This window comes from Homo sapiens, chromosome 7 (assembly GCF_000001405.40).
Source record: "Homo sapiens chromosome 7, GRCh38.p14 Primary Assembly".
In the NCBI taxonomy this organism is placed as follows: Eukaryota; Metazoa; Chordata; class Mammalia; order Primates; family Hominidae; genus Homo; species Homo sapiens.
The window spans coordinates 65,242,052-65,266,164 of record NC_000007.14 but is presented as its reverse complement, the minus strand read 5'-3'; the positions used below and the strand labels follow the sequence as shown (position 1 = coordinate 65,266,164).

At 48.8% G+C, this 24,113-nt stretch overlaps 1 long non-coding RNA gene and 1 pseudogene across 1 annotated transcript in view, besides 8 other annotated features; one reads left to right on the top strand and one right to left on the bottom strand.

Annotated features, from left to right (window-relative positions):
• Nucleotides 1,650-2,264: an enhancer, noted in NCBI's record as "H3K4me1 hESC enhancer chr7:64728796-64729410 (GRCh37/hg19 assembly coordinates)". NCBI's record gives its function as "activates a minimal SCP1, AML or CMV promoter by ChIP-STARR-seq in primed H9 embryonic stem cells {active_cell/tissue: H9 hESC(primed)}" and the evidence as "EXISTENCE:reporter gene assay evidence [ECO:0000049][PMID:30033119]".
• Nucleotides 2,313-2,846: an enhancer, noted in NCBI's record as "H3K4me1 hESC enhancer chr7:64728214-64728747 (GRCh37/hg19 assembly coordinates)". NCBI's record gives its function as "activates a minimal SCP1, AML or CMV promoter by ChIP-STARR-seq in primed H9 embryonic stem cells {active_cell/tissue: H9 hESC(primed)}" and the evidence as "EXISTENCE:reporter gene assay evidence [ECO:0000049][PMID:30033119]".
• Nucleotides 2,847-3,381: an enhancer, noted in NCBI's record as "H3K4me1 hESC enhancer chr7:64727679-64728213 (GRCh37/hg19 assembly coordinates)". NCBI's record gives its function as "activates a minimal SCP1, AML or CMV promoter by ChIP-STARR-seq in primed H9 embryonic stem cells {active_cell/tissue: H9 hESC(primed)}" and the evidence as "EXISTENCE:reporter gene assay evidence [ECO:0000049][PMID:30033119]".
• CLUHP7 (clustered mitochondria homolog pseudogene 7) lies at nt 3,183-3,771 on the bottom strand (annotated as a pseudogene).
• Nucleotides 5,018-5,565: an enhancer, noted in NCBI's record as "OCT4-NANOG-H3K27ac hESC enhancer chr7:64725505-64726052 (GRCh37/hg19 assembly coordinates)". NCBI's record gives its function as "activates a minimal SCP1, AML or CMV promoter by ChIP-STARR-seq in naive H9 embryonic stem cells {active_cell/tissue: H9 hESC(naive)}" and the evidence as "EXISTENCE:reporter gene assay evidence [ECO:0000049][PMID:30033119]".
• Nucleotides 5,295-5,495: a silencer, noted in NCBI's record as "peak6539 fragment used in MPRA reporter construct". NCBI's record gives its function as "represses an SCP1 promoter by STARR-seq MPRAs in K562 erythroleukemia cells {active_cell/tissue: K562}" and the evidence as "EXISTENCE:reporter gene assay evidence [ECO:0000049][PMID:32103011]".
• The window catches only part of LOC124901661 (uncharacterized), a 32,854-nt gene continuing 22,489 nt past the window's right edge, over nt 13,749-24,113 (top strand). The window contains exon 1 of the long non-coding RNA XR_007060366.1: nt 13,749-13,862. This is a non-coding gene — a long non-coding RNA (uncharacterized LOC124901661). The remainder of the gene's footprint in view (nt 13,863-24,113) is intronic.
• Nucleotides 15,311-15,904: an enhancer, noted in NCBI's record as "H3K4me1 hESC enhancer chr7:64710613-64711206 (GRCh37/hg19 assembly coordinates)". NCBI's record gives its function as "activates a minimal SCP1, AML or CMV promoter by ChIP-STARR-seq in primed H9 embryonic stem cells {active_cell/tissue: H9 hESC(primed)}" and the evidence as "EXISTENCE:reporter gene assay evidence [ECO:0000049][PMID:30033119]".
• Nucleotides 21,754-22,389: an enhancer, noted in NCBI's record as "NANOG-H3K27ac-H3K4me1 hESC enhancer chr7:64704139-64704774 (GRCh37/hg19 assembly coordinates)". NCBI's record gives its function as "activates a minimal SCP1, AML or CMV promoter by ChIP-STARR-seq in naive H9 embryonic stem cells {active_cell/tissue: H9 hESC(naive)}" and the evidence as "EXISTENCE:reporter gene assay evidence [ECO:0000049][PMID:30033119]".
• Nucleotides 22,390-23,026: an enhancer, noted in NCBI's record as "NANOG-H3K27ac hESC enhancer chr7:64703502-64704138 (GRCh37/hg19 assembly coordinates)". NCBI's record gives its function as "activates a minimal SCP1, AML or CMV promoter by ChIP-STARR-seq in naive H9 embryonic stem cells {active_cell/tissue: H9 hESC(naive)}" and the evidence as "EXISTENCE:reporter gene assay evidence [ECO:0000049][PMID:30033119]".

The window sequence follows — 24,113 nt, the reverse complement described above, 5'->3', positions numbered from 1 at the left end:
TGTGTTGTTTACACAGGGCCTGGGAGAGGGAGTGGGGGTTGTAGATCCAGGATGGGCACGGCCTCACACCCAGAGTTCACCTGGTCGCAGGCCAGCAAGCAAGCCCAAGCAGCACGGCTCTAGACACTGAGCCTTGTCACCTCTGGCTGCACTTCCTATATATACTTTGCACAAAGGCAGCAAGAGAAGGTCAACATTAGCATTTGTGACATGGAAGTCTATGCCCCACTGAGAACTTCTAAAAATGTTCTTTTCTTTTTCTGTTTTCTTTTTTTTTTTCGTGAGACAGAGTTTCACTCTTCTTGCCCAGGCTGGAGTACAATGGCGTGATCTCGGCTCACCGCAACCTCTGCCGTCCAGGTTCAAGCAATTCTCCTGCCTCAGCCTCCGAGTAGCTGGGATTACAGGCATGTGCCACCATGCCCAGCTAATTTTTGTATTTTTTTTAGTAGAGACGGGGTTTCTCCATGTTGGTCAGGCTGGTCTCAAATTCCTGACCTGAGGTGATCTGCATGCCTCAGCCTCCCAAAATGCTGGGTTACAGGCATGAGCCACCACGCATGGCCAAAAATGTTGTTTCCTTAAGCCCTCTTCCTTCTAATAAAATCTATACAAATACATACAAGCTTGAAACTACTATAAATGAAATCTTAGGTTTTTTAAAACCCATAAATAAACAAACACCAAACAGAGACACTGATTGAGGAAAGAGTGGGAGCCTAAATTAGCTGATCCCCAAACAGCCTCACCAAGCCCCAGGCCAGGCAGTCTGAACACTATAAGGCCACGTGATGGTTACAGAGGATGACAGCTCCCATGAGTACTTGTCAGGCACTGTGCTAGCTTCTCATTCAGAGTCTCAGAATGCCTCCTTGCCAATACCGTGTGAGGTGAGGCCCTGCCTCAATGGAGCACAAGAGGTTCCTCAGCTCTCCCAAGGAAATGGTTATCAAAGGGTGGAGCTGGGGGATGCCAGACAGAACAAGTGTCTCCCCAGGGTCCCCCTAGACTCCCTCCGATCTTCCACATGGGCCCGGGGGGGAAGTGAACAGCCTCCTAACCCCCTCGATAAGGTTCCAGTCCTGTAGGCCTGGACGCTCTCATTTCCTGCTACCATGTGGGGTGACAATGCAACCCCAGACCCCTCATTTGCCATCCTTCAATCCCAGGCCAGGCCCAAAGGCCTTTGCTGATACAGCCCAGAGGGTGCTCGACACCCACCTTGGCACAGTCACTCATAATGTAGTGGGATGGTCAAGGAGGTGCACGTAGGTGCAAGTCCCCATGAGCGTGGCCTCAGGCATGTTCCACAGGCTCAGGACCTCACTGAGGAGCCCACAGCCCTCCTTCAGGAGGCCGCGAACACAGTCCCACGGAGCAGTGCTCAGATGGGCAGACAGGCCCGCCAGCACTGAGGACCCCAGACCCCCCAGCGTGAGGCTCTGTCCAACTTTGCAGGGCTTTTACACTGGCCGGTCCCCATTGCTTCTCTGGTGAGATGTCCGAGTTGAATTGAATGTTGAAGGCCATGCATCTGATGGAGCTGACTGCTTTGCACACACGGGAAATCACCTCCTGGCTCCAAGGGTGGGCTGTGGAGACACAGCCTGATGGGAGGTAGTTCCACTCCACCATCAGTGGGGGCTGGGCTGCCCTGAGCCACAACCGCCCAGCTTCCTGCAGAGATGTCTGCCTGCTTCTCTCAGAGGCTGAGTTATGAGCCACCCCTGGCAAGGACTGGCCGCCAGGACAGGCTGGGAACTCTCCCCCAGCATCCTCGGCAGCCCCACCTGTGCTGATGATCTCCATGATAAGATTATGGATTGGCCTGGTTATAGCTCCGAGTGAGGGGGAGGGAGTCAGCAGTGGTGGACCCCCAGACATTCATGTGCCCAGCCCTGGCCTGCCTGCCTGCCCTCAGGCACAGCAAAAGGCACAACCACAGGCCCTGACTTGCCTCCCTACTCCCTGCACCCAACATGGGAATACTCAGAAAGTAACCTTCCCCCCATCATTTCTCTACCTTAATAACAGCATTGATAACTTTTAAGTTCTAGTAAGCTGAAAGTGTAAGATAAATGAGCTTCTGCCTTGGAAGGGGCATGGTTAGGCAGTGTGTGCCCAAGTGAGAGCCCCATGGTTGCTAGTAGAGGGTGGGAAGCTGGATGGCCCTGGCCACTCAGCACAGTGGAAGTACAGTCCTCTCCTTCCAGGGAATCAAGGTCTCAAAGAGGCCAGAAAAAGGTGCATGGGTGGCCTGCCAGGAAGCAGAAGGCTAGAAGGCCTTGCAGGAAACCCTAGACAGCATTCAGGATGCCTGAGAGGGCTGGGCTCATTCCAGCTTTCCTTGCTTTCATCCTGTCCACAAGAAAGCCTGCCCGCAGATGGCAGGTGGGCCTGAGGCTGCCAGTCAGTCACCAGGGGATATAAGCACCTTGATTATGGCTCTTTCTTGAAGCAGCTGCTTAGGCCAGTTCTGGCAGAGCAGTTCCCTCATTATCTGCAGCTCCTTCTTCCAATCCCAGGTCTGCAGAAGGACCAGGAAGACAAGGGCTCAGGCTGTGCCCCACAACCTGCTCTGAGAAGTCTGTCTCTCTCTTTTTTTTTTTAACCTCTTCATTGATAGCCTTAGACTTCCAAATGAACTGACCAGCATGGAGCCTCCATAAAAGGGCACAGAATTCTGTCTGGCACCCAGGAGGAAGGGGGTTCCCAGTGAGGGCAGGGCCAGTCTGCATGCACCTGTTCAGGAATGTTCTCCTCATAGCTCAGCCTCAAGGTGTAGACATCCTCTGTGAGCACGCAGTGTCATGGGAGCCCTTGCCCGGGGAGCAGTCCAGCTGCACACCTGGAATGGGATGGTTTTCCTCTTGAATGTGTGGTGCTAGGCCCCATGGCAGGCAGTGGAGAGGGAGATACACAGCCCACCAAGCTCAGAGCCCTGCCGCAGGCTTCTTCTCTGACACCTCTACCTGCTCTAGGTTCTTCTTGGCACTGAAGTCAGAAGCAGATGGGGTCCCTCCCAGGGCTGCTCTCTCCCACATTGACTGACAGCTCCCTAGAAGGGGACTCAGGCAGTGGGGGCAGTTTTTTGGGCAGAAGCACTGGAGTTAGGCTGGCCAGTTCATCACATACCCCCACATGACATGACACAAGGCAGGGGCAGTGGGACAAAGCCATCACCTTTTTTTCTATGGCATGACAAAGGGTTTTGTAAAGTTCAGGCTGATGTGGTTGAGCAGCTCCAGTGGGAATGGCTTGGGAAGCCGGGGCTGGTGGGCTCGGGTTTGAGTGATAGGCTATGGGCCTACAAGGAGTGGGTGGGCACTAAGTAAGTGCCCTGGTTGTCTGTCCACAGACCCAGAACAAGTGGCATCCCAGGAGCCTGTGGGGGGCTGGCAGAGACTTACTGGTTGCAGTAAAAGCCCCATGTGGATGCAGTGATGCTGCCTCACTGGCCCTTGGCTGTAATTACAAACGGATACATGAGGTCTCCATGCATCTTGCAGTTCCCAGTGGGTGGGTTCCTACTGCTCATGGTAGGCACTGGAAGTGCTTCAGGAATGGCCAAGCTTGAATAAGCCAGGCTTGTTGGTGTGTGGCCCTCCAACCCAACGAGGACCCTCTTCCTTGCTCACCGTGGGAGTTCCACCTTCCAGTCATGGTTCTAGAGACACAATGGCCCCTCCTGGGTCCCTGGCAGGATGTGCTCAGTGACCCACAGTTGACAGGGCCCATCTCCAAGCCATTCTTCCAATTCCCACTGTTTGAATATCTATGATAACTGTATATCTGTGAGGAACCCGGGGCTGGTGGTCAGCACAGGGCCACCCAGGGCCAGTTGTCTTTCTACCTAAATGTGACCCTGGTCTGGGTGTCTCAGGGCCAGGCCCCTCCAGGTTGGAAGGCCTGGTCTTCAGCCCCTGGCCTCCATGCTCCTTTTCCCTCCGTTCAGTCCTGACACCAATACCTCCCACCCCTCTCAGGTCACCATTGGAGAAAATGCTCAAGAAGGACAAGCAGCTTCAGTCAACTCTGCTGAAGGTGGCAGATGGGCCCAGGCTCTTGAGCAGGGCTTGGACATGGTACCTGTGGATTCAGGCCTTGAGCAGTATGTGTAACTCTTTCAGGAAGGGAGAAAGAAGGGTGTTACCAGGACCCCGCACCCTGGAACAACCCATCTAGCACAGAAAATAGTTTACAGCTATCACGGGTGATTTTAATTTTCAACTTTAGGCTTCCATTTTCAAATTCCACAATGAACACATAAGGTGGAGTTCTGGTTTCAACACACACACACACACACACACACACACACACACACACACTCCTGCCTCCTAGTGGGCAGAGATTTTTGTTCACAAAGAATCTTCTGCCAAATGCCTCCGAGGTACACGTAGGTCTTGGGGAGCCCATGGGCCAACTGTTTTGTGGGCACTCCTGTCTTCGGTAGGCAGGTTCTTCAGAGCTTTGAGACCTCCACAACCTTGCGCTGCTCTCCTGGGGCAGCCTTCATGCAGGGGTGTCCTGAGGACTTCCCAGGGCACCCAACTTCAGCACTGTCATCCAGTGTGCGTTTCACGGAATTTTTTTTCCCAGGAGAAATAACTTTATTTGAACTGAGAGCTGGAGAATGAGACAAGGACTTGAGACAGCATGAGTAGAGGTGAGGTTCCAAAACGGCAGTCAGAGCTCATCCACCAAACAGACTCCACTTTCCCAGCAACCTTGCAGTTAGTGCCACCAACAAAAGGTCCACTGGGAAATATATTTGCCACAAAATTACCCAAGTATGCCAACATTACAAAAAAGATACAGATTTTTCATCGTAATTAAATTTCCACAAAACCCCCAAATCACAAGTGTTTTGTTTTTTTTTTTGAGACGGAGTTTTGCTTTTTTCGCCCAGGCTGTAGTGCAGTGGCACAATCTCGGCTCACAGCAACCTCTGCCTCCCAAGTTCAAGCAATTCTCCTGCCTCAGTCTCCCAAGTAGCTGGGATTACAGGCGCCCAAAACCACATTGTGGGGAAAAGAAAGAGAGATCAGATTGTTACTGTGTCTGTGTAGAAAGAAGTAGACATAGGAGACTCCATTTTGTTCCCTACTAAGAAAAATTCTTCTGCCTTGAGATGCTGTTAATCTGTAACCCTTCCCCCAACCCTGTGCTCCCTGAAACATGTGCTGTGTCAACTCAGGGTTAAATGGATTAAGGGCTGTGCAGGGTGTGCTTTGTTAAACAAATGCTTGAAGGCAGCATGCTTGTTAAGAGTCATCACCACTCCCTAATCTCAAACCACTCCCTAATCTCAAGTACCCAGAGACACAAAACACTGCAGAAGGCCGCAGGGACCTCTGCCTAGGAAAGCCAGGTACTGTCCAAGGTTTCTCCCCATGTGAGAGTCTGAAATATGGCCTCGTGGGAAGGGAAAGACCTGACCGTCCCCCAGCCCGACACCCGACACCCGTAAAAGGTCTGTGCTGAGGAGGATTAGTAAAAGAGGAAGGAACGCCTTTTTGCAGTTGAGATAAGAGGAAGGCTTCTGTCTCCTGCTCATCCCTGGGCAATGGAATGTCTGGGTGTAAAGCTGATTGTATATTCCATCTACTGAGATAGGAGAAAACCGCCTTAGGGCTGGAGGTGGGACATGCTGGCAGCAATACTGTTCCTTAAGGCAATGAGATGTTTATGTATATGCACATCAAAAGCACAGCACTTTTTTCTTTACCTTGTTTATGGTGCAGAGACATTTGTTCACGTGTTTACCTTCTGACCTCTCCACTATTATCCTATTATCCTGTCACGCCCGATCATGAGCAATAAATACTAAGGGAACGCAGCAGCCGGGGCTGGCGTGGATCCTCCATATGCTGAATGCCTGTCCCCTGGGCCCCTTTTTCTTTTTTTTTTTTTTTTTTTTTTTTTTTTATTGATCATTCTTGGGTGTTTCTCGCAGAGGGGGATTTGGCAGGGTCATAGGACAATAGTGGAGGGAAGGTCAGCAGATAAACAAGTGAACAAAGGTCTCTGGTTTTCCTAGGCAGAGGACCCTGCGGCCTTCCGCAGTGTTTGTGTCCCTGGGTACTTAAGATTAGGGAGTGGTGATGACTCTTAACTAGCATGCTGCCTTCAAGCATCTGTTTAACAAAGCACATCTTGCACCGCCCTTAATCCATTTAACCCTGAGTGGACACAGCACATGTTTCAGAGAGCACAGGGTTGGGGATAAGGTCACAGATCAACAGGATCCCAAGGCAGAAGAATTTTTCTTAGTACAGAACAAAATGAAAAGTCTCCCATGTCTACTTCTATCCACACAGACCCGGCAACCATCCGATTTCTCAATTTTTTCCCCACCCTTCCCGCCTTTCTATTCCACAAAACCGCCATTGTCATCATGGCCCATCCCCAATGAGCCGCTGGGCACACCTCCCAGACGGGGTCGTGGCCGGGCAGAGGGGCTCCTCACTTCCCAGTAGGGGCGGCCGGGCAGAAGCGCCCCTCACCTCCCGGATGGGGCGGCTGGCCGGGCGGGGGGCTGACCCCCCCACTACCCTCCCGGACGGGGCGGCTGGCCAGGCAGAGGGGCTCCTCACTTCCCAGTAGGGGCGGCCGGGCAGAGGCGCCCCTCACCTCCTGGATAGGGCGGCTGGCCGGGCGGGGGGCTGTCCCCCCCACCTCCCTCCCGGACGGGGCGGCTGGCCGGGCAGAGGGGTCCTCACTTCCCAGTAGGGGCGGCCAGGCAGAGGCGCCCCTCACCTCCCGGACAGGGCGGCCGGCCGGAAGGGGGGCTGACCCCCCCACCTCCCTCCCGGATGGGGCGGGTGGCCGACCCCCCCCCCCCCGCCTCCCTCCCGGACGGGGCGCTGGCCGGGCAAAGGGGCTCCTCACTTCCCAGTAGGGGTGGCCGGGCAGAGGCGCCCCTCACCTCCCGGACGGGGCGGCTGGCCGGGCGGGGGGCTGACCCCCCCCACCTCCCTCCCGGACGGGGCGGCTGGCCGGGCAGGGGGCTGACCCCCCCTCCCCCCTCCCGGACGGGGCGGCTGGCCGGGCGGGGGGCTGACCCCCCCACCTCCCTCCCGGATGGGGCGGCTGGCCAGGCGGGGGGCTGACCCCCCCACCTCCCTCCCGGGCGGGGCAGCTGGCCGGGCAGAGGGGCTCCTCACTTCCCAGTAGGGGCGGCCGGGCAGAGGCGCCCCTCACCTCCCGGACGGGGCAGCCGGCCGGGCGGGGGGCTGACCCCCCCACCTCCCTCCCGGACGGGGCGGCTGGCCGGGCAGAGGGGTCCTCACTTCCCAGTAGGGGCGGCCGGGCAGAGGCGCCCCTCACCTCCCGGACGGGGCGGCTGGCCGGGCGGGGGGCTGACCCCCCCCACCTCCCTCCCGGACGGGGCGGCTGGCCGGGCAGGGGGCTGACCCCCCCTCCCCCCTCCCGGACGGGGCGGCTGGCCGGGCGGGGGGCTGACCCCCCCACCTCCCTCCCGGATGGGGCGGCTGGCCAGGCGGGGGGCTGACCCCCCCACCTCCCTCCCGGGCGGGGCAGCTGGCCGGGCAGAGGGGCTCCTCACTTCCCAGTAGGGGCGGCCGGGCAGAGGCGCCCCTCACCTCCCGGACGGGGCAGCCGGCCGGGCGGGGGGCTGACCCCCCCACCTCCCTCCCGGACGGGGCGGCTGGCCGGGCAGAGGGGTCCTCACTTCCCAGTAGGGGCGGCCGGGGCGGCTGGCCGACCCCCCCCCCCCGCCTCCCTCCCGGACGGGGCGGCTGGCCGGGCAGAGGGGCTCCTCACTTCCCAGTAGGGGCGGCCGGGCAGAGGAGCCCCTCACCTCCCGGACGGGGCGGCTGGCCGGGCGGGGGGCTGACCCCCCCCACCTCCCTCCCGGACGGGGTGGCTGCCGGGCGGAGACGCTCCTCACTTCCCAGACGGGGTGGTTGCCGGACGGAGGGGCTCCTCACTTCTCAGACGGGGCGGTTGCCAGGCAGAGGGTTTCCTCACTTCTCAGACGGAGCGGCGGGGCAGAGACGCTCCTCACCTCCCAGACAGGGTTGCGGCCCAGCAGAGGCGCTCCTCACATCCCAGACAGGGCGGTGGGGCAGAGGTGCTCCCCACATCTCAGACGATGGGCGGGCGGGCAGAGACGCTCCTCACTTCCTAGATGGGATGGCGGCCGGGCAGAGGCGCTCCTCACTTTCCAGACTGGGCAGCCAGGCAGAGGGGCTCCTCATATCCCAGACGATGGGTGGCCAAGCAGAGATGCTCCTCACTTCCTAGACGGGATGGCGGCCGGGAAGAGGTGCTCCTCACTTCCCAGACTGGGCGGCCGGGCAGAGGGGCTCCTCACATCCCAGACGGGGTGGCGGCCGGACAGAGGCTGCAATCTCGGCACTTTGGGAGGCCAAGGCAGGCGGCTGGGAGGTGGAGGTTGTAGCTAGCCGAGATCAGCCACTGCACTCCAGCCTGGGCAACATTGAGCACTGAGTGAACGAGACTCCATCTGCAATCCCGGCACCTCGGGAGGCCGAGGCTGGCAGATCACTCGCGGTTAGGAGCTGGAGACCAGCCCGGCCAACACAGCGAAACACCGTCTCCACCAAAAAAATACGAAAACCAGTCAGGCGTGGCGGCGCGCGCCTGCAATCGCAGGCACTCGGCAGGCTGAGGTGGGAGAATCAGGCAGGGAGGTTGCAGTGAGCCGAGATGGCAGCAGTACAGTCCAGCTTCAGCTCGGCATCAGAGGGAGACCGTGGGGAGAGGGAGACGAGGGAGAGGGGGAGGGGGAGGGGGAGGGGAGGGGGAGGGGGGGAGAGGGAGAGGGAGAGGCTCTTTTATTCTTTTTATAAGACTTTTTTTTTTTTTGAGACAGACTTTTAGTCAGTCGCCAGGCTGGAGTGCAGTGGCATGATCTCAGCTCAGTGCAACCTCCACCTCCCAGGTTCAAGCGATTCTCCTGCTTCAGTCTCGCCAGTAGCTGGGACTACAGGCGCACACCACCATGCCCAGCCACTTTTTGTATTTTTTCTTTTTTTTTTTTTTGAGACAGAGTCTCACTCTGTTGCCCAGGCTGGAGTGCAGTGGCACGATCTCGGCTCACCACAACCTCCACCTCCCGGGTTCACACCATTCTCCTGCCTCAGCCTCCCGAGTAGCTGGGACTACAGGTGCCCACCACCATGCCTGGCTAATTTTTTTGGTATTTTTAGTAGAGACGGGGTTTCACTGTGTTAGCCAGGATGGTCTCGATCTCCTGACCTCGTGATCCACCCGCCTTGGCCTCCCAAAGTGCTGGGATTACAGGCATGAGCCACCACGCCTGCCACTTTTTGTATTTTTAGTAGAGATGGGGTTTCACCATGTTGGCCAGGATGATCTCGATCTCTTGACTTCGCGATCTGCCCACCTTGGCCTCTCAAAGTGTTGGGATTACAGGCGTGAGCCACCGCACCCGGCCATAAGACTCTTTTTATAAATATATTGGTCTACTTGATGGTATCCAGTAAGTCTCATATTTCATCCTTATTTTTTTCATCATTTTTTAAAATTGGCTTCCAGGACTCAATACTTGTGAATAATGTTCAATTTCCTGATTCCTTCTTCTGCTTCATTAAGTTTGCTGTTGTGTCTGCAGTGAATTTATAAAACTCAGTTATTGCATCTTTCAACTCCACAATATCTGTTGGCTTTTTGAAAATAATTTTTATCTCTTTATTGATATCTCATTTTGCTCATTATTTTAAAATTTCATTTAGTTGTCTATTTGTGTTTTATTTTTTGTTCATTGAGCATGCTTAAGATGATAATTCTGAATTCTTTATCAGATATGCAAAAATCTTTACTTCTTAAGATTCAATTTCTGGAGATTTATTTTGTTCCTTCAAGTGGGGCCTATTTTCTGCCTTCTCTATATGCCCTGTGATTTTTTTTTAAATGAAATCTGGTGATTTAATAACATAAGAAAGTGCTGTGGCTCACACGTGTAATCCCAGCACTTTGGGATGCCGAAGGGGGTGGATCACCTGAAGTCAGGAGTTCAAGACCAGCCTGGCCAACATGGTGAAACCCCCCTCTACTAAAAATACAAAAATTAGCTAGGTGTGGTGGCGGGCGCCTGTAATCCCAGCTACTCAGGAGGCAAGGCAAGAGAATCACTTGAACCCGGGAGCCCGAGATTGTAGCGAGCCAAGATTGTGCCACTGCACTCTAGCCTGGGCAACAAGAGCAAAACTCCGTCCAAAAAAAGAAACAAAGAAATTCCAGGACACCAGGGACAGATGACACATTTTCTGCTATATAATTTCAAGTCCTATGGAGGTTTAAAACATAAATCTACAAAAAAATTAGACTAAAAAATTTTATGTGCACAAAGTGTCTTATTAAATTATTTACTTAAAATTTTTCTCTTTCCTAGTAGGACCTAATCTTGGAAATTTAAACTCTATATGCCAACAGCCTGTACTATAGGGAGTTTACTACATGTACTCATTTCATAGATTTCCTGCAAAAACTTTTGTCATAAGAAAACTTAGAACATTGTTATACATATAGTAAATTCCCAATTGTTACCTTATTTCTCAATTATTATTTTATACTTCTGTCTTCTTTAATATGAAGATTACCATGGCTGTGTTTTCACTTTCTGAATTGTCATATGTCACATTTGTCTGTAATTTTGGTTTCAAAAGTGCTAAAATAACATGCTTGAATGTATATGTTAAAATGAAGTAACATATAATTAATAATTTATTAAGATATTTGGCTGTATGTGTAATTAATTATAGGCAGAATATTATTATTAGCATTTCCATCCATGTTCCTAAACCTTTATCTGAATGTTAGTACAACTTATTCCTTATTTTTTATATATCGATGTTTTATACCCTACATACTATATTTATATTGTCCTTGTATTTAGAAATGTAAGACTTTTCTTCTAAAGGCTAGATTACAGCCTTACTATTTTATGTAAGAAGAGCAGCAATGTATCAACAGTATAATTTAAGTTTCTCTAGTATTATTTACATTTTTATTCCTTAAAACTTTCTCATCAAAGCTCTTTATGAATAATTATAATGTGTTTTCTCTGAAATGTTGTTGCCCTAACTGTCGGCTAATGATTCAAAATTCATGCTCTTCATGGCTGCACAGGCAAAATTGAAAATTGTAGTCATCTGGCCAGGGCGACAGCTCACGCCTGTAATCCCAGCACTTTGAGAGGCCGAGGCGGGTGGATCACTTTAGGTCAGGAGTTCGAGACCGGCTTGGCCAACATGGCGAAACTCCGTCTCTACTAAAAATACAAAAATTAGTTGGGCGTGGTGGTGGGTGCCTGTAATCCCAGCTAGTCAGGAGGCTGAGGCAGGAGAATCGCTTCAACCCAGGAGGTGGAGGTTGCAGTGAGCTGCCATCCTGCCACCACACTCCAGCCTAGGTGACAGAGCAAGACTCCGTCTAAAAAAAAAAACAAGTAGTTATCTAGAATAAACACTATGTTTACTCAGGATTTTATGGGTTAAAGTTTATCTTAATTATGTTTTGTAATTTTATATTTCTGTATTTTTTTTAGAGTAGGCTGCCTCACATGAGTTCATTGTGTTTCTGGTTTCTACAAATTACAGTATACAAATCAGAATTTTTTGGATTAATGTTTGTTTTAACTCTGTTTTGCAATTTTGTATTTCTGTATTTTGTGTTTTAGGGTGGTCCACTTCACATCAGCTTATTGTGTTTTTAGCTTTAATTTATATATTATAATTTTGTATGACAATATTCAACTCTGTACACCTTAAGACAGTGTGGGACAAAAGTCAAATATGAATCAGCCCTATGTCTATTGTCAATATAATTATCTATGTGTTTGTTTGCTTGTATAAATATTACCCCATTTTGTTTATGATTTGTATATTTTTATTCTTGGCTGGTGGCCAATAATGTTTGATTCTGTCTAGGTGAGTAGTCATGGAAATTGTCTTAATTTTAAAATCTATTTATTGTTTATATTATTTTAGTGTGAGAGAAATACTTTTGTGGTTCGTAGGTAAATTTTGAACAAGTTTATAACTCTTTTAGTTGTCATTTTAAATTGTGATTGTGGTAAAAATACATAACATAAAATTTAGAATCTTATATTTTATTATACAGTTCAGTCATGTTAAGTGTATTTACATTGTTATGCAACATATCTGTAAAATTTTTTTCTCTTGCAAAACTAAAACTCAATACACATGAAGTGACAGGAGTTTGAGACTATCCTGGGCAACATCTTAGATGACAACTCTATTAAAAAATAATATAATAAAGTTAAAAAAGAAATATATATGCCCAGAGCCTGGACAACACTGCAAGATCACATCTCTTCTAAAAAGATGGATGGATGGAGAGGTAGGTAGATAGGTAGATAGATAGATAGACAGATAGATAGGATTAAGCCAGGTGTGGTAGCTTATGCCTGTAATCCTAGCACTTTGGGAGGCTGAGGTGGGTGGATCATTTGAGATCTGGTGTTCAAGACTAGCCTGGCCAACATGGTGAAACCCCGTCTCTACTAAAAATACAAAAAGTAGCCGGATGTGGTGGTACATGCCTGTGATTCCAACTACTCAGGAGGCTGAGGCAGGAGAACTGCTTGAACTCGGGAGACCGAGGTTATAGTGAGCAAAGATGGTGCCACTGCACTTCAGCCTGGGCGACAGAGCGAGACTCCGTCTCAAAAAAAAAAAAAAAAAAAATATATATATATATATATACACACACACACACACACACACACTAGTTGTGTATAAATGTGTGTGTATGCACATTAATCTGTGTGTAGCTTAATTCATTCAATTAGTCTATTATTAAAAGACATTTAAATTACCTCCAAACATTCATTACAATGAGCAAGGTTTCAGTGAATTTTCCTTATTATCGGTTTTCTTTTCTTTGTTTTTTCTTTCTTTCTTTTTTTTTTTTTTTTTTTTGAGGCAGAGTCTCCCTTTGCTGCCCAGGCTGGAGTGCAATGGTGCAATCTCAGCTCACTGCAACCTCTGCCTCCCGGATTCAAGCGATTCTCCTGCCTCAGCCTCCTTGAGTAGCTGGGTTTACAGGCGCCTGCCACCACGCCCAGCTAATTTTTGTATTTTTAGTACAGACAGGTTTTCGCCATGTTGCCCAGGCTGGTCTCGAACTCCTGACCTCAAGTGATCCGCCCGCCTCCCAAAGTGCTGGGATTACAGGCGTGAGCCACCGCGCCCGGCTTTATTATCTGTTTTTAAACTCTCAACCTAAACAACAAACAGAGAAAGGCTCTCTCAAAGAAAAGATGTTTATTTGGGAGTAGGGCATTGCAACGGGAATACATGAGATTCACCACTACCTACCGCCCAGGACTGCCGCGCAGCTCAAATAAATTTTTGAAAAGCACCTCTGCACTCCAGACTGGGCGACAGAGCGAGACTCTGTCTCTGTCTCAGAAAAAAAAGAAAAGACAAAGACAAAAAAGAAAACCGCCTCAAAAAATTTTTAAAAAGTGCCTCTCGAGGCCTTGTGCACACGGAGTGACATGACCTGCTGAGGTCAAGGCAAGCTTTCCACCCTCCGTGGCTGGGAAATCTCCTGCCTAGCTTCACGATGAATCAAGGCCAGGGCGCCTCCCACCTCTCGGGAGGAAACCTGACGCCTGACCGCTTAATGGGTGTGTCCACAAGTTGCCACCTAAGGAGGAGGGGAGGGGGAAGCTACGCAGCCTTGATAGCAGCCGGGAACCCTGAGTCCCGGACCCGCACAGCGCAGAGGACCCCAGCAGCGCACTTGTCCCTTTCGCCCTGGCCTTGCCGCGGCGGCGGGGAGAAGAGGGTGGGACGGTCTGACCTCCGCAGCCAATGAAAGCAGTGAGTTCCTGGTCCGATCCCCAGCGCGACTCCTCAGTGGTCACCTCCCGGGCAACGGGCCACGGACCCTCGGCACCCCGAGACAATTGTCAGGCGGAGGGTGAGCCCCGGTTCCTGGGCGGCGGGTGCGGATTGGGATGGGCGCGGAGCCAGGTGGCGTGAGCCTGCAGCCCTCCGTGCTCGGAGTGCGCGCGCCACAGTGGAGCCCGCCGCGTCGCTGACCGGGTGCGCGCTGCTCTTCCTGCTCTGGGTGCGCGGGAAGGGGCTGGGTGTCCGCGCGCCCCTTCCTCCTGCCGCTCTTGGTACCTTCCACATCTACCAACGCCTGTGCGCCGGGTGGTGTGGAAGCGCAGCATCGCCGGTGGGACAGCCAGAAACAGAAGAGCACGCCTGGCGTGGCAGGGGCCCAGAGCCACGGGAACACGGGTGACAGGGACAGCGGGACTTAAGGCAGCAAGGGAGGTGCGGTGCAGGAGGGAGTCAGGACTTCATGGAGAGCTGGCATTGGAGGGCGATTGGAACCAAATAAATTAAAAAAAAAAAAAAAGGTGCGGGGGGAACAGAACAGGCAAAGGCAACAGAGGAGCACAACATTGCCCCGATGTTAGCTGTGTGCAGGGCATGTGCGGGTACCTGGGGCGGATATAAAGAATGCTAAGATAGGCCGGGTGCAGTGGCTCACGCCTGTAATCCCAGCACTTTGGGAGGCCGAGGCGGGCAGATCACGAGGTCAGGAGTTCGAGAGCAGCCTGGCCAACATGGTGAAACCCCGTCTCTACTAAAAATACAAAAATTAGCTGGGAGTGGTAGCGGGCGCCTGTAATCTCAGCTACTCGGTAGGCTGAGGCAGGAGAATCGCTTGAACCCGGGAGGCAGAGGTTGCAGTGAGCCGAGATCACGCCATTGCACTCCAGCCTGTGCGACAGAGCGAGACTCCTTCTCAAAAAAAAACACAAAAAACAAAAACAAGAATCTTAACAGAAAGGTGCCCAACAGTCAGGTAACTCACCAGGCCCCAGCGTCTCAGAAGGAGGAAAGGCTTCCGGGAGGCGGAACTGGGCCTAGCGATTGGGAAATGGAGGAAATGATTGGGCGAAGGTGTGTGGGTGGAAGGAATGGTATGAGCAAAGGCCGGGAAAGGAGAAAGCGTAGGGCAGGAGGAGGAGAAGATTCGAAAGCCAGCTTGGAGCTAGGTTGGAGAGGGGCCTTGCTGCCAGGTTTGAGTTTTGAGCAAGGTGCTTCTGTCGGGTTTAGAGGAGAGGACTAAAGTTAAAAGGTGGAACTCAGCCCAGGATCCGGAGGGAAGAGCCTCACCGTCTCTGGTGATGGAGGGTTCACTCCTTGACAGGTGCAGTTGTTCCATGTCCCAGCTGGAGCCTATTCTGCGTCCAGGGCTGGCCTGGTTTTGGGTCCTGGGCTGTTTCTTGGCTCCCGCTGCCCCTCCTTCTGTTCCTTTCTTGCTGGCATCAGGTTGCAGAGAGCTTCTGTTTCCTGCTGCCACCCTTCCATAGGCATAGCAGCCTCTGTATTCTGTGAGCTCCGCTTCGGGTGCTGCAGCAAGAGCCTGAACATGGATGGGGAGAGCCGCTTCTATGAGGGATGAGACCTCGGATCTGGTTGGGGGAAGGCAGAGTCTCGAAGCGCTTTGCCTGCTGCCCTTGGTTCTGCCGGTCACAGTCTTAGCCCCAGTGCCCTGCCTACCCTTTCTCCTCAATTGCATCCTCTTTCCCAGCTATTTCCACGAGTTTAGATTCTCCATTTTTCTTCCTGTCTCCTCCATCAGAGTATGAGCTCTTGGAAATCAGGGACACTTATCTGACTCACCTCTGGCCAATGAGGCCTGGCTCCAAGCAGCCTAGTCAGCACTTCTTAACCTCAACTAAACTGCAGGGTTCACTGTGGGCAGGAAGACAAGAGTCCCAGCTGGACTAGCCACTGCCCTGGACCTGCCATGAGCCATTGATGTCCATTATTTCTAATGCTCACAGCAACCCTGGTAGGTCTTGTGCCGGTTTTACAAATGGGGAAAATTGAGTTTCTGGCTGTGAGTCGTGTGTCCAGGATGGCCTAGCTAGTCAATGGGGCTGGAATCCAGATTACCCTGATTTCAGAGCCAAAATTCTTGACGATTTTTTCCCATCCATTCCCTTCCCTCCTGTAGTTCTGGTCCTGTTGCCTCATCCCTGGCCTGTTGTAATAGCTGTCTGACCAGTTGCCCTTTTTCCAGGTACCTCTCACCTCTCTTTGACCTACACATAGTCCCAAGAGTGGGCTTTCATGGCATTGGCTCCCTGCCTAAAATCTTGGCTGGCTCTAGTCAGGATCCAATCCACCCAGTGCCTCAGGCTTTCTGACTTCTGCATTCACTTCATGTGACTCTCCAGCTTAAATACAGTGCCCCAACTCAGTCCCTCCCACCTCTGGGGTTGTATCAAGTCCTGGGACTGCAGAGATGGGAAGGGAGGCATGTTTGGCCATGGAATTCGACCACTTGTTCCTTCACCCCTTACTCACAAGAATCCCTTCATCAACACCTGCCCCCTCTCAGCTCCCTGGCCTCTTATAGTAGGAAAGCCCTTTTCCATGTGGAGCTGTTTGCCTGGCCAGCTCCAGTGCAATTTTCTCTAGGAGGCCTGACCAGTATTTGACCAGACTTTTGGTTGCAAGTAAAAGAAGCTAAAATCATACTTGCTTGAGCAAGAAGGGATTTTAAAGTCCAGGAGTAAAACTGGATCAGGCATGGCTGGATCCAGGATCCTTCTCTTCCCCATTTCCATCTTTTCATACATCTGCCATTTCTTGTCTCTGCTTTTCTCTAGGTTGACTTCATTCTTTGCAGCCTGTCTTCCTGTAGAGGCCCCAGAAGTTTCCTGGCTTACAGTCAACCAGCTTAGCAACTCCCACAAAGGCAGAGTGCCTTTCCTAGAACCAGTCTTGTTGGCTTGATTTGGGTCATAGGCCTGTCTCTAAACCTGTCTCTGTGGCCAGGAGGATAAAATCATCCTTTAGTCATGTGCCTTCTGGGGCACAGTGAGTAGAATTAGCCTTACCTGAGCCAAAGGAAGACAGGGATTGTTAGAAGTAGATGAAGAGGGGCTGGGCACAGTGGCTCATACCTGTAATCCCAGCACTTTGGGAGGCTGAGGCGGGCAAATCACTTGAGGTCAGGAGCTCAAGACCAGTGTGGCCAACATGGAGAAACCCTGTCTCTACTAAAAATACAAAAATTCACCAGGCGTGGTGGCAAACACCTGTAATCCCAGATACTCGGGAAGCTGAGGAAAGAGAACCTCTTGAACCTGGAAGGCGGAGGTTTCAGTGAGCTGATATCACCCTACTGCACTCCAGCCTGAATGACAGAGTGAGACCCTGTCTCAAAAAAAAATGGGTGGTCACAGGTCAAAACAACAGATCTCCACTTTTCCTGCTCTTGTTCATCTCAGTAGGAAGGGAACACTTCCTTCCGTGTTCCTAATGGGCTTGTCATCCTGGGACATTTGTTCTCTGTGTTTGAGCTCTAGTCACTTACATTAGAGGTTTTGCAAAAGCTCTTTCTTTCATTGGCTTGGTGGTCCTTCCTTGCCCCTTTTCTTTCCCTCAAGGTGATAAATGAGTTAGCACATACAAATGTTTAGAACAGGGCTTGGCATGTAACAAGCCTCAATAAGTGTTAGCTATTATCCTATGGACTATTACCGTGAGCCCATCGATTCTTCCAGACCTGAAATTCAACAATCCTGGCTATGAATCTGGGCTTTGCCATTTACTAGTTATGTGACCTTGATCAAGTTATTTTGCCACTGAGTTTCCTCATCTACAAAATGGTGTCATCCTAACTTCCTGGGATTGTTGTGAGAATCAAACAAGACAGTGTGCAGTAGACACATAGCACAGTGAGGATACCCAGTAGTGGTAATGTTTTTTTACAATCACTACTATCATTACAAAACCTTTTTCAAACTTCCCAGTTAGGATTTATGTTTTCAGGCTGGGCACCTTGGCTCACACCTGTAATCCCAGCAATTTGGGAAGCCGAGGCAGGTGGATCACCTGAGGTCAGGAGTTCAAGACCAACCTGGCCAACATGGTGAAACCCCGTCTCTACTAAAAATACAAAAAATTAGCCGGGCTTGGTGGCACATGCCTGTAGTCCCAGCTTCTCAGGGAGCTAAGGCAGGAGAATCACTTGAATCCCGGAGGTAGAGGTTGCAGTGAGCCGAGGTCACGCCATTCCACTTCAGCCTGGGCAACAAGAGCAAAACTCTGTCTCAAAAAAAAAAAAAAAAAAAAAGGAATTAATGTTTTCAAAACACCTTGCTCTTATATTCTAGTTCTTTCTTCATTCTGCCTTGTGGTGTAGCAACTTGTTAGCTTTTCTGCAGGCCTCATTAGCCAAGGAAGTAACAGGGGGACTCTTCCTTGTTTTGTTTCTCCCAGTGCCTGGATTTGGGTTTGTTTCCCAGCTCCCTCTTTCTGAAAGCAGGGCTGTGAGCTGCTCTTGGGATCCCTTGTGGGGCCAGCTTAGCCTCTGTCCTGTGATTGTAGGTGTTTGGAATGGAAAAAGTGGGACAGTGAGACCTTCATGTACACACGGTGCCCCAGCCAGCTCACCATCTCACTGTGGGTTGGGAAGTACAAGAAGATGTCCAGAAACATCATAATCAACCCGATGGGCATTCTAGAGGTGGACGCCAACAAACGGGGGAGAATAGCACTGTTCCCTAGTTGTGGGAGCAGGTAGTGCACTGCCTCTGGTGCATGAGGCTCGCAGGGAGCTGATTTTAGCCAAGGGCATCCCAGAGTGGACTGGACCAAGGCCCATGTCCTCATGGAAGGCTCTGCCCACTACTGCTGTCCTCATGCCTCACAGCTACCAAGGAGAGAGATGGGTCATAAGCTCATCTCACAGGCTGGCAAACTAAGAGCTCAGAGGGACCCTTCCATTGTCTGTATTTCCACAGGAAGTCAGGAATGGGGAAATCATGGACTAAAATAAGAGATAAAAGGGAACTTATTTATCCCTTCGTGGTAAGGAAGTGTTCAGGTGGAACATGGGCTAATTAAAGGAACAGATGGCATGGTCTTGCTACAAGCTTCCTGGAGACCCACGTTTTAATAGCCTTAGAAATGTGCATACTCTTAGACCCATGTAGTAATTCTACTTCTTGGAACTTGACTTAAGGAAAAGGGAAATAGGTTTCAATATAATTAAAGATACCAAACAGCTAGAGAGATTGCATCACAGTTTTACTTCTAATTGACAAAATTTCTATACCCAATCATAGAGGACTCATTAAATGTGGTGAATCTGTGGGGGCGCCCAACCCCTCTTCATCTACTTTTACAGGTGCCCACCGCCACCCCCAGCTAACTTTTGTATTTTAAATAGAGACAGGGATTTATCGTGTTGGCCAGGCTGGTCTCGAACTCCTGACCTCAGGTGATCCACCCGCCTCAGCCTCCCAAAGTGCTGGGATTACAGGTGTGAACCACTGTGCCTGGCCTCTGCTTTAAGAATTTGTAAGGATTTTGTTTGCTAGTAAATCATCAACTCTTCTGAAAGTATCTGTTTGGGTCCACTATTTCATTTCCAGTTTGAAAAGGTGTACACACACACACACACACACACACACACACACACATAGGCACGCATAAATACATTTTTTCTTCTATATATCTCTTATAACTAAAGTTTATCTTTAGCTTAATATATTGGTATATTTCATGTAATGTAAATCAAACCAAAAAAAATTATGTGTTCAATTGGCTCAGGAATAAAAAATATGCAAAGAAAAGTATTGGATACAATTTTATAACTAATGATTCAGAATTCAGAAACCATGGCTTCTAATTCTACTTCTACATAATCTTTATTGTAACTATCATAATGTCCCAGTAGTTGTAGCAGGGAGAAAACAATATAAAATATATCTCTTGAGAACATTAGTCTCCAAATGATTTAGGGTTTCAATTCTCTTTTAAAAAGAAAATTACTAAAGAAGTAATTCCATTGTGTTACCTAATAGTATATTGTTATTATCTGTTACCTCCAATGTTAAGTAAAGTAGAATAGGTTACCATGGAAAAGATAACATTTGATTCATTGCACTTCAGTGTTAAAACATGAGAAACCATTTAGTTTTCATAGTTAAATTAAGCTCACACATTGTCTAAATAAGACATTTTAAAATTCACTATATGCTACTTGGTCAAGCACACAAGAAGCATTAGGTTTTTTCTGATTTAGTGATCTTAGAGATTTTGTTTTCTTTTCTTTTTTTTTTTTTCTTTTTTTTGAGACGGAGTTTCACTCTTGTTGCCCAGGCTGGAGTGTAATGGTACAGTCTCGGCTCACTGCAACCTCCGCCTCCCAGGTTCAAGCGATTCTCCTGCCTCAGCCCCTCTAGTAGCTGGGATTACAGGCGCCCACCACCATGCCCAGCTAATTTTTGTATTTTTAGTAGAGATGGGGTTTCACCAAGTTGGCTAGGCTGATCTCGAACTCCTGACCTCAGGTGATCCTCCCGCCTTGGCCTCCCAAAGTGCTGGGATTACAGGCTTGAGTCACTGCACCCAGCACATCACTGTTAAGTCAACAACAAAGAGCATCCTCCATTTCCCACTAAGCTTCCATAAAAAAACTGATGCTAATGATGCCCACCTAATACAGAATGGCCTCTCATATCCTGAGGCAGCAACAGTGGGCCACATGTTTTCTTATAAACACAAGGAATTTAGGCATTTCACCAACCAATTTTTGAGAGTTTAATTACATAATAATTGAAAATTTCCAATACTGTCAATACAAAACCAGTATTCATTGAATATAAATACATCTGTCTAAACATCAAAGTCTTGCTTCTTTATTTATTTATTTACTTTTTTTTTTTTTTTTTTGATACAGAGTCTTGCTCTGGTGCCCAGGCTGGAGTGCAGTGGCTCGGTCTCTGCTCACTGCAACCTCTGCCTCCTGGGTTTGAGCGATTCTCCTGCCTCAACCTCCCAAGTAGCTGGGATTATTGGCGCCCACCACCACACCCAGCTAATTTTTGTATTTTTAGTAGAGACGTGGTTTCACCATGTTGGTCAGGCTGGTCCTTGAACTCCTGACCTCAGGTGATCCACCTACCTTGGCCTCCCAAAGTGCTGGGATTACAGGCGTGAGCCACCAAGCCTGATCTGTCTTGATTCTTTAAAACATACAACTAAATTATTTTACTGTTTAGACTTTGAGTTCCCTATTTTAAGTACTCCTGTTTAACAGAAAACTTTAAAGTGTTAGTACTTTTTTGTGTAATCCTCTGATGTTTATTTAGACTTAATTTTTTATAATGCTTTTTTTCCCTTTTGTAGAGATGGGGGTCTTGCTATGTTGCCTACGCTGGTCTCAAACTTCTAACCTTAAGTTACCCTTCTGTCTCAGCCTCCCAAAGTGCTAGAATTAGAGGCATGAGACACTGAGCTTGATTTTTTTTTATTACTTTCTCAAATTTATTGCATCTATAAAGCTTTTTTTTTCTGTGAATACTGGTAATTTCCAAGGTGTACATTTTGAATAAAACTCTTTCCACATTCATTATAGAGCTTCTGTAGTATATAGAATGTAGTATATAGCTTCCGTAGTATATAGATGTGTATAGAGCTTCTGTAGTATAAGTTCTCTGATGTTCACTAAGGCAGTAGTCCCCAAGCTTTACGGCACCATGGACCAGTTTTACGGAAGACAATTTTTTCCATGGACTAGGGCTGAGGGAAATGAAACTGTTCCACAGCCAGGCGCGGTGGCTCACGCCTGTAATCCCAGCACTTTGGGAGGCCGAGGCAGGTGGATCACAAGGTTAGGAGTTCAAGACCAGCCTGGCCAAGATGGTGAAATCCCGTCTCTACTAAAAATAAAAAATTAGTCTGGCGTGGTGGCACGCGCCTGTAATCCTAGCTACTCGGGAGGCTAAGGCAGAAGAATTGCTTGAAACCGGGAAGTGGAGGTTGCAGTGAGCCGAGATCGCACCATTGCACTCCAGCCTGGGCAATAAGAGAGAAACTCCGTCTAAAAAAAAAAAAAAAGAAAAGAAACTGTTCCACTTCGGATCATCAGGCATTAGTTAGATTTTCATAAAGAGTGTGTAACCTAGGTACCTTGAATGTGCAGTTCACAATAGGGTTTGGACTCCTATGAGAATCTAATGCTGCTGCTGATCTGACAGGAGGTGGAGCTCCTGGAGCTCACGATTGAATTGTCTATGTAGTAAATCCAAAATAGTCAACGTAAAAAAATCTAGAACTAATAAGTGATTATAATAAGGGTGCAGTGTGGGGAAAAGCAAGAGAGATCAGATTGTCACTGTGTCTGTGTAGAAAGAAATAGACATGGGAGACTCCATTTTGTTATGTACTAAGAAAAATTCTTCTGCCTTGAGATTCTGTGACCTTACCCCCAACCCCGTGCTCTCTGAAACATGTGCTGTGTCAAACTCAGGGTTAAATGGATTAAGGGCCGTGCAAGATGTGCTTTGTTAAAGAGATGCTTGAAGGCAGCACGCTCCTTAAGAGTCATCACCACTCCCTAATCTCAAGTACCCAGGGACACAAAAACTGCGGAAGGCCGCAGGGACCTCTGCCTAGGAAAGCCAGGTATTGTCCAAGGTTTCTCCCCATGTGATAGTCTGAAATATGGCCTCGTGGGAAGGGAAAGACCTGACCGTCCCCCAGCCCGACACCCGTAAGGGTCTGTGCTGAGGAGGATTAGTATAAGAGGAAGGCATGCCTCTTGCAGTTGAGACAAGAGGAAGGCATCTGTCTCCTGCCCGTCCCTGGGCAATGGAATGTCTCGGTATAAAACCCGATTGTACGTTCCATCTACTGAGATAGGGAAAAACCGCCTTAGGGCTGGAGGTGGGACATGCGGGCAGCAATACTGCTTTGTAAAGCATTGAGATGTTTATGTGTATGCATATCTAAAAGCATGGCACTTAATCCTTTACCTTGTCTGTGATGCAAAGACCTTTGTTCACATGTTTGTCTGCTGACCCTCTCCCCACTATTGTCTTGTGACCCTGACACATCCCCCTCTCGGAGAAACACCCACGAATGATCAATAAATACTAAGGGAACTCAGAGGCTGGCGGGATCCTCCATATGCTGAACGCTGGTCCCCCAGGTCCCCTTATTTCTTTCTCTATACTTTGTCTCTGTGTCTTTTTCTTTCCTAAGTCTCTCGTTCCACCTTAGGAGAAACACCCACAGGTGTGGAGGGGCAACCCACCCCTTCAGTGCAGAAGTAAATTCTTCTCTATATAGAAGCAATGAACAAGTCAAATTTGAAATTTTAAATGCGTTAACATTTAAATTAGCACTTTTCAAAATGAAACACGTATAAATCTAACAAAATACATTCAAGATCTATTTGATGAAAACTACATAATTCTGATAATAAATTAGTAACTAAATAAATGGAGAAATAGTTCCTTCTCATATATAGGAAGAGTCAGTATTGTCAAGATGTCATTTCTGTCTAACTTCACCTATAGATTCAACAGAATCCTAATCTAAACAAAAAACATTATTTTATGGATATTGAGAACACTTTCTAACAATTATATAAAGAAAAAACCAAGCAACCCACACAGTATTGAAAAAGAACAAAGTAAGAGGACTGTTATTACTCAACTTCAATACTTATTATAAATTTATAGTAATCATGAGACGTTGTATTGGCAAAATCATCGACAAATTGATCAGAGGAACAAATGCAGAGCTCAGATATAGATCCACACGAATATAGTTAAGTGATTTTTCACAAAGAATCAAAGACAATACAATGGAGAAAAAATAGTCTTCAACAAATGGTACTGTAACAACTAGACATCCACATGCAAAAAAAAAAATATATAGATATAGTCATTACACCCCTCTCAAAAATTAACTCAGAATGCATCATAGACCTTAATGTAAACATAAAACTATAAAATTAGAAGAAAACAGGAAAAGATCTGGATCTCCGAATACAGCAATGATATGCCACCCTTCATTGAAATTTTAAAACAAAGAAACAAAAACTGTGAAAGACATTGCTTCTCATTTAAATAAGAAGACAAGACACAGACTGGAAGAAAAATATTTTCAAAATATCTGTCTGGAAAGAAATATTATCTAATGGCCAGACGCGGTGGCTCACACCTGTAATCCCAGCACTTTGGGAGGCCGAGGCAGACTGATCATGAGATCAAGAGATCGAGACCATCGTGGCCAACA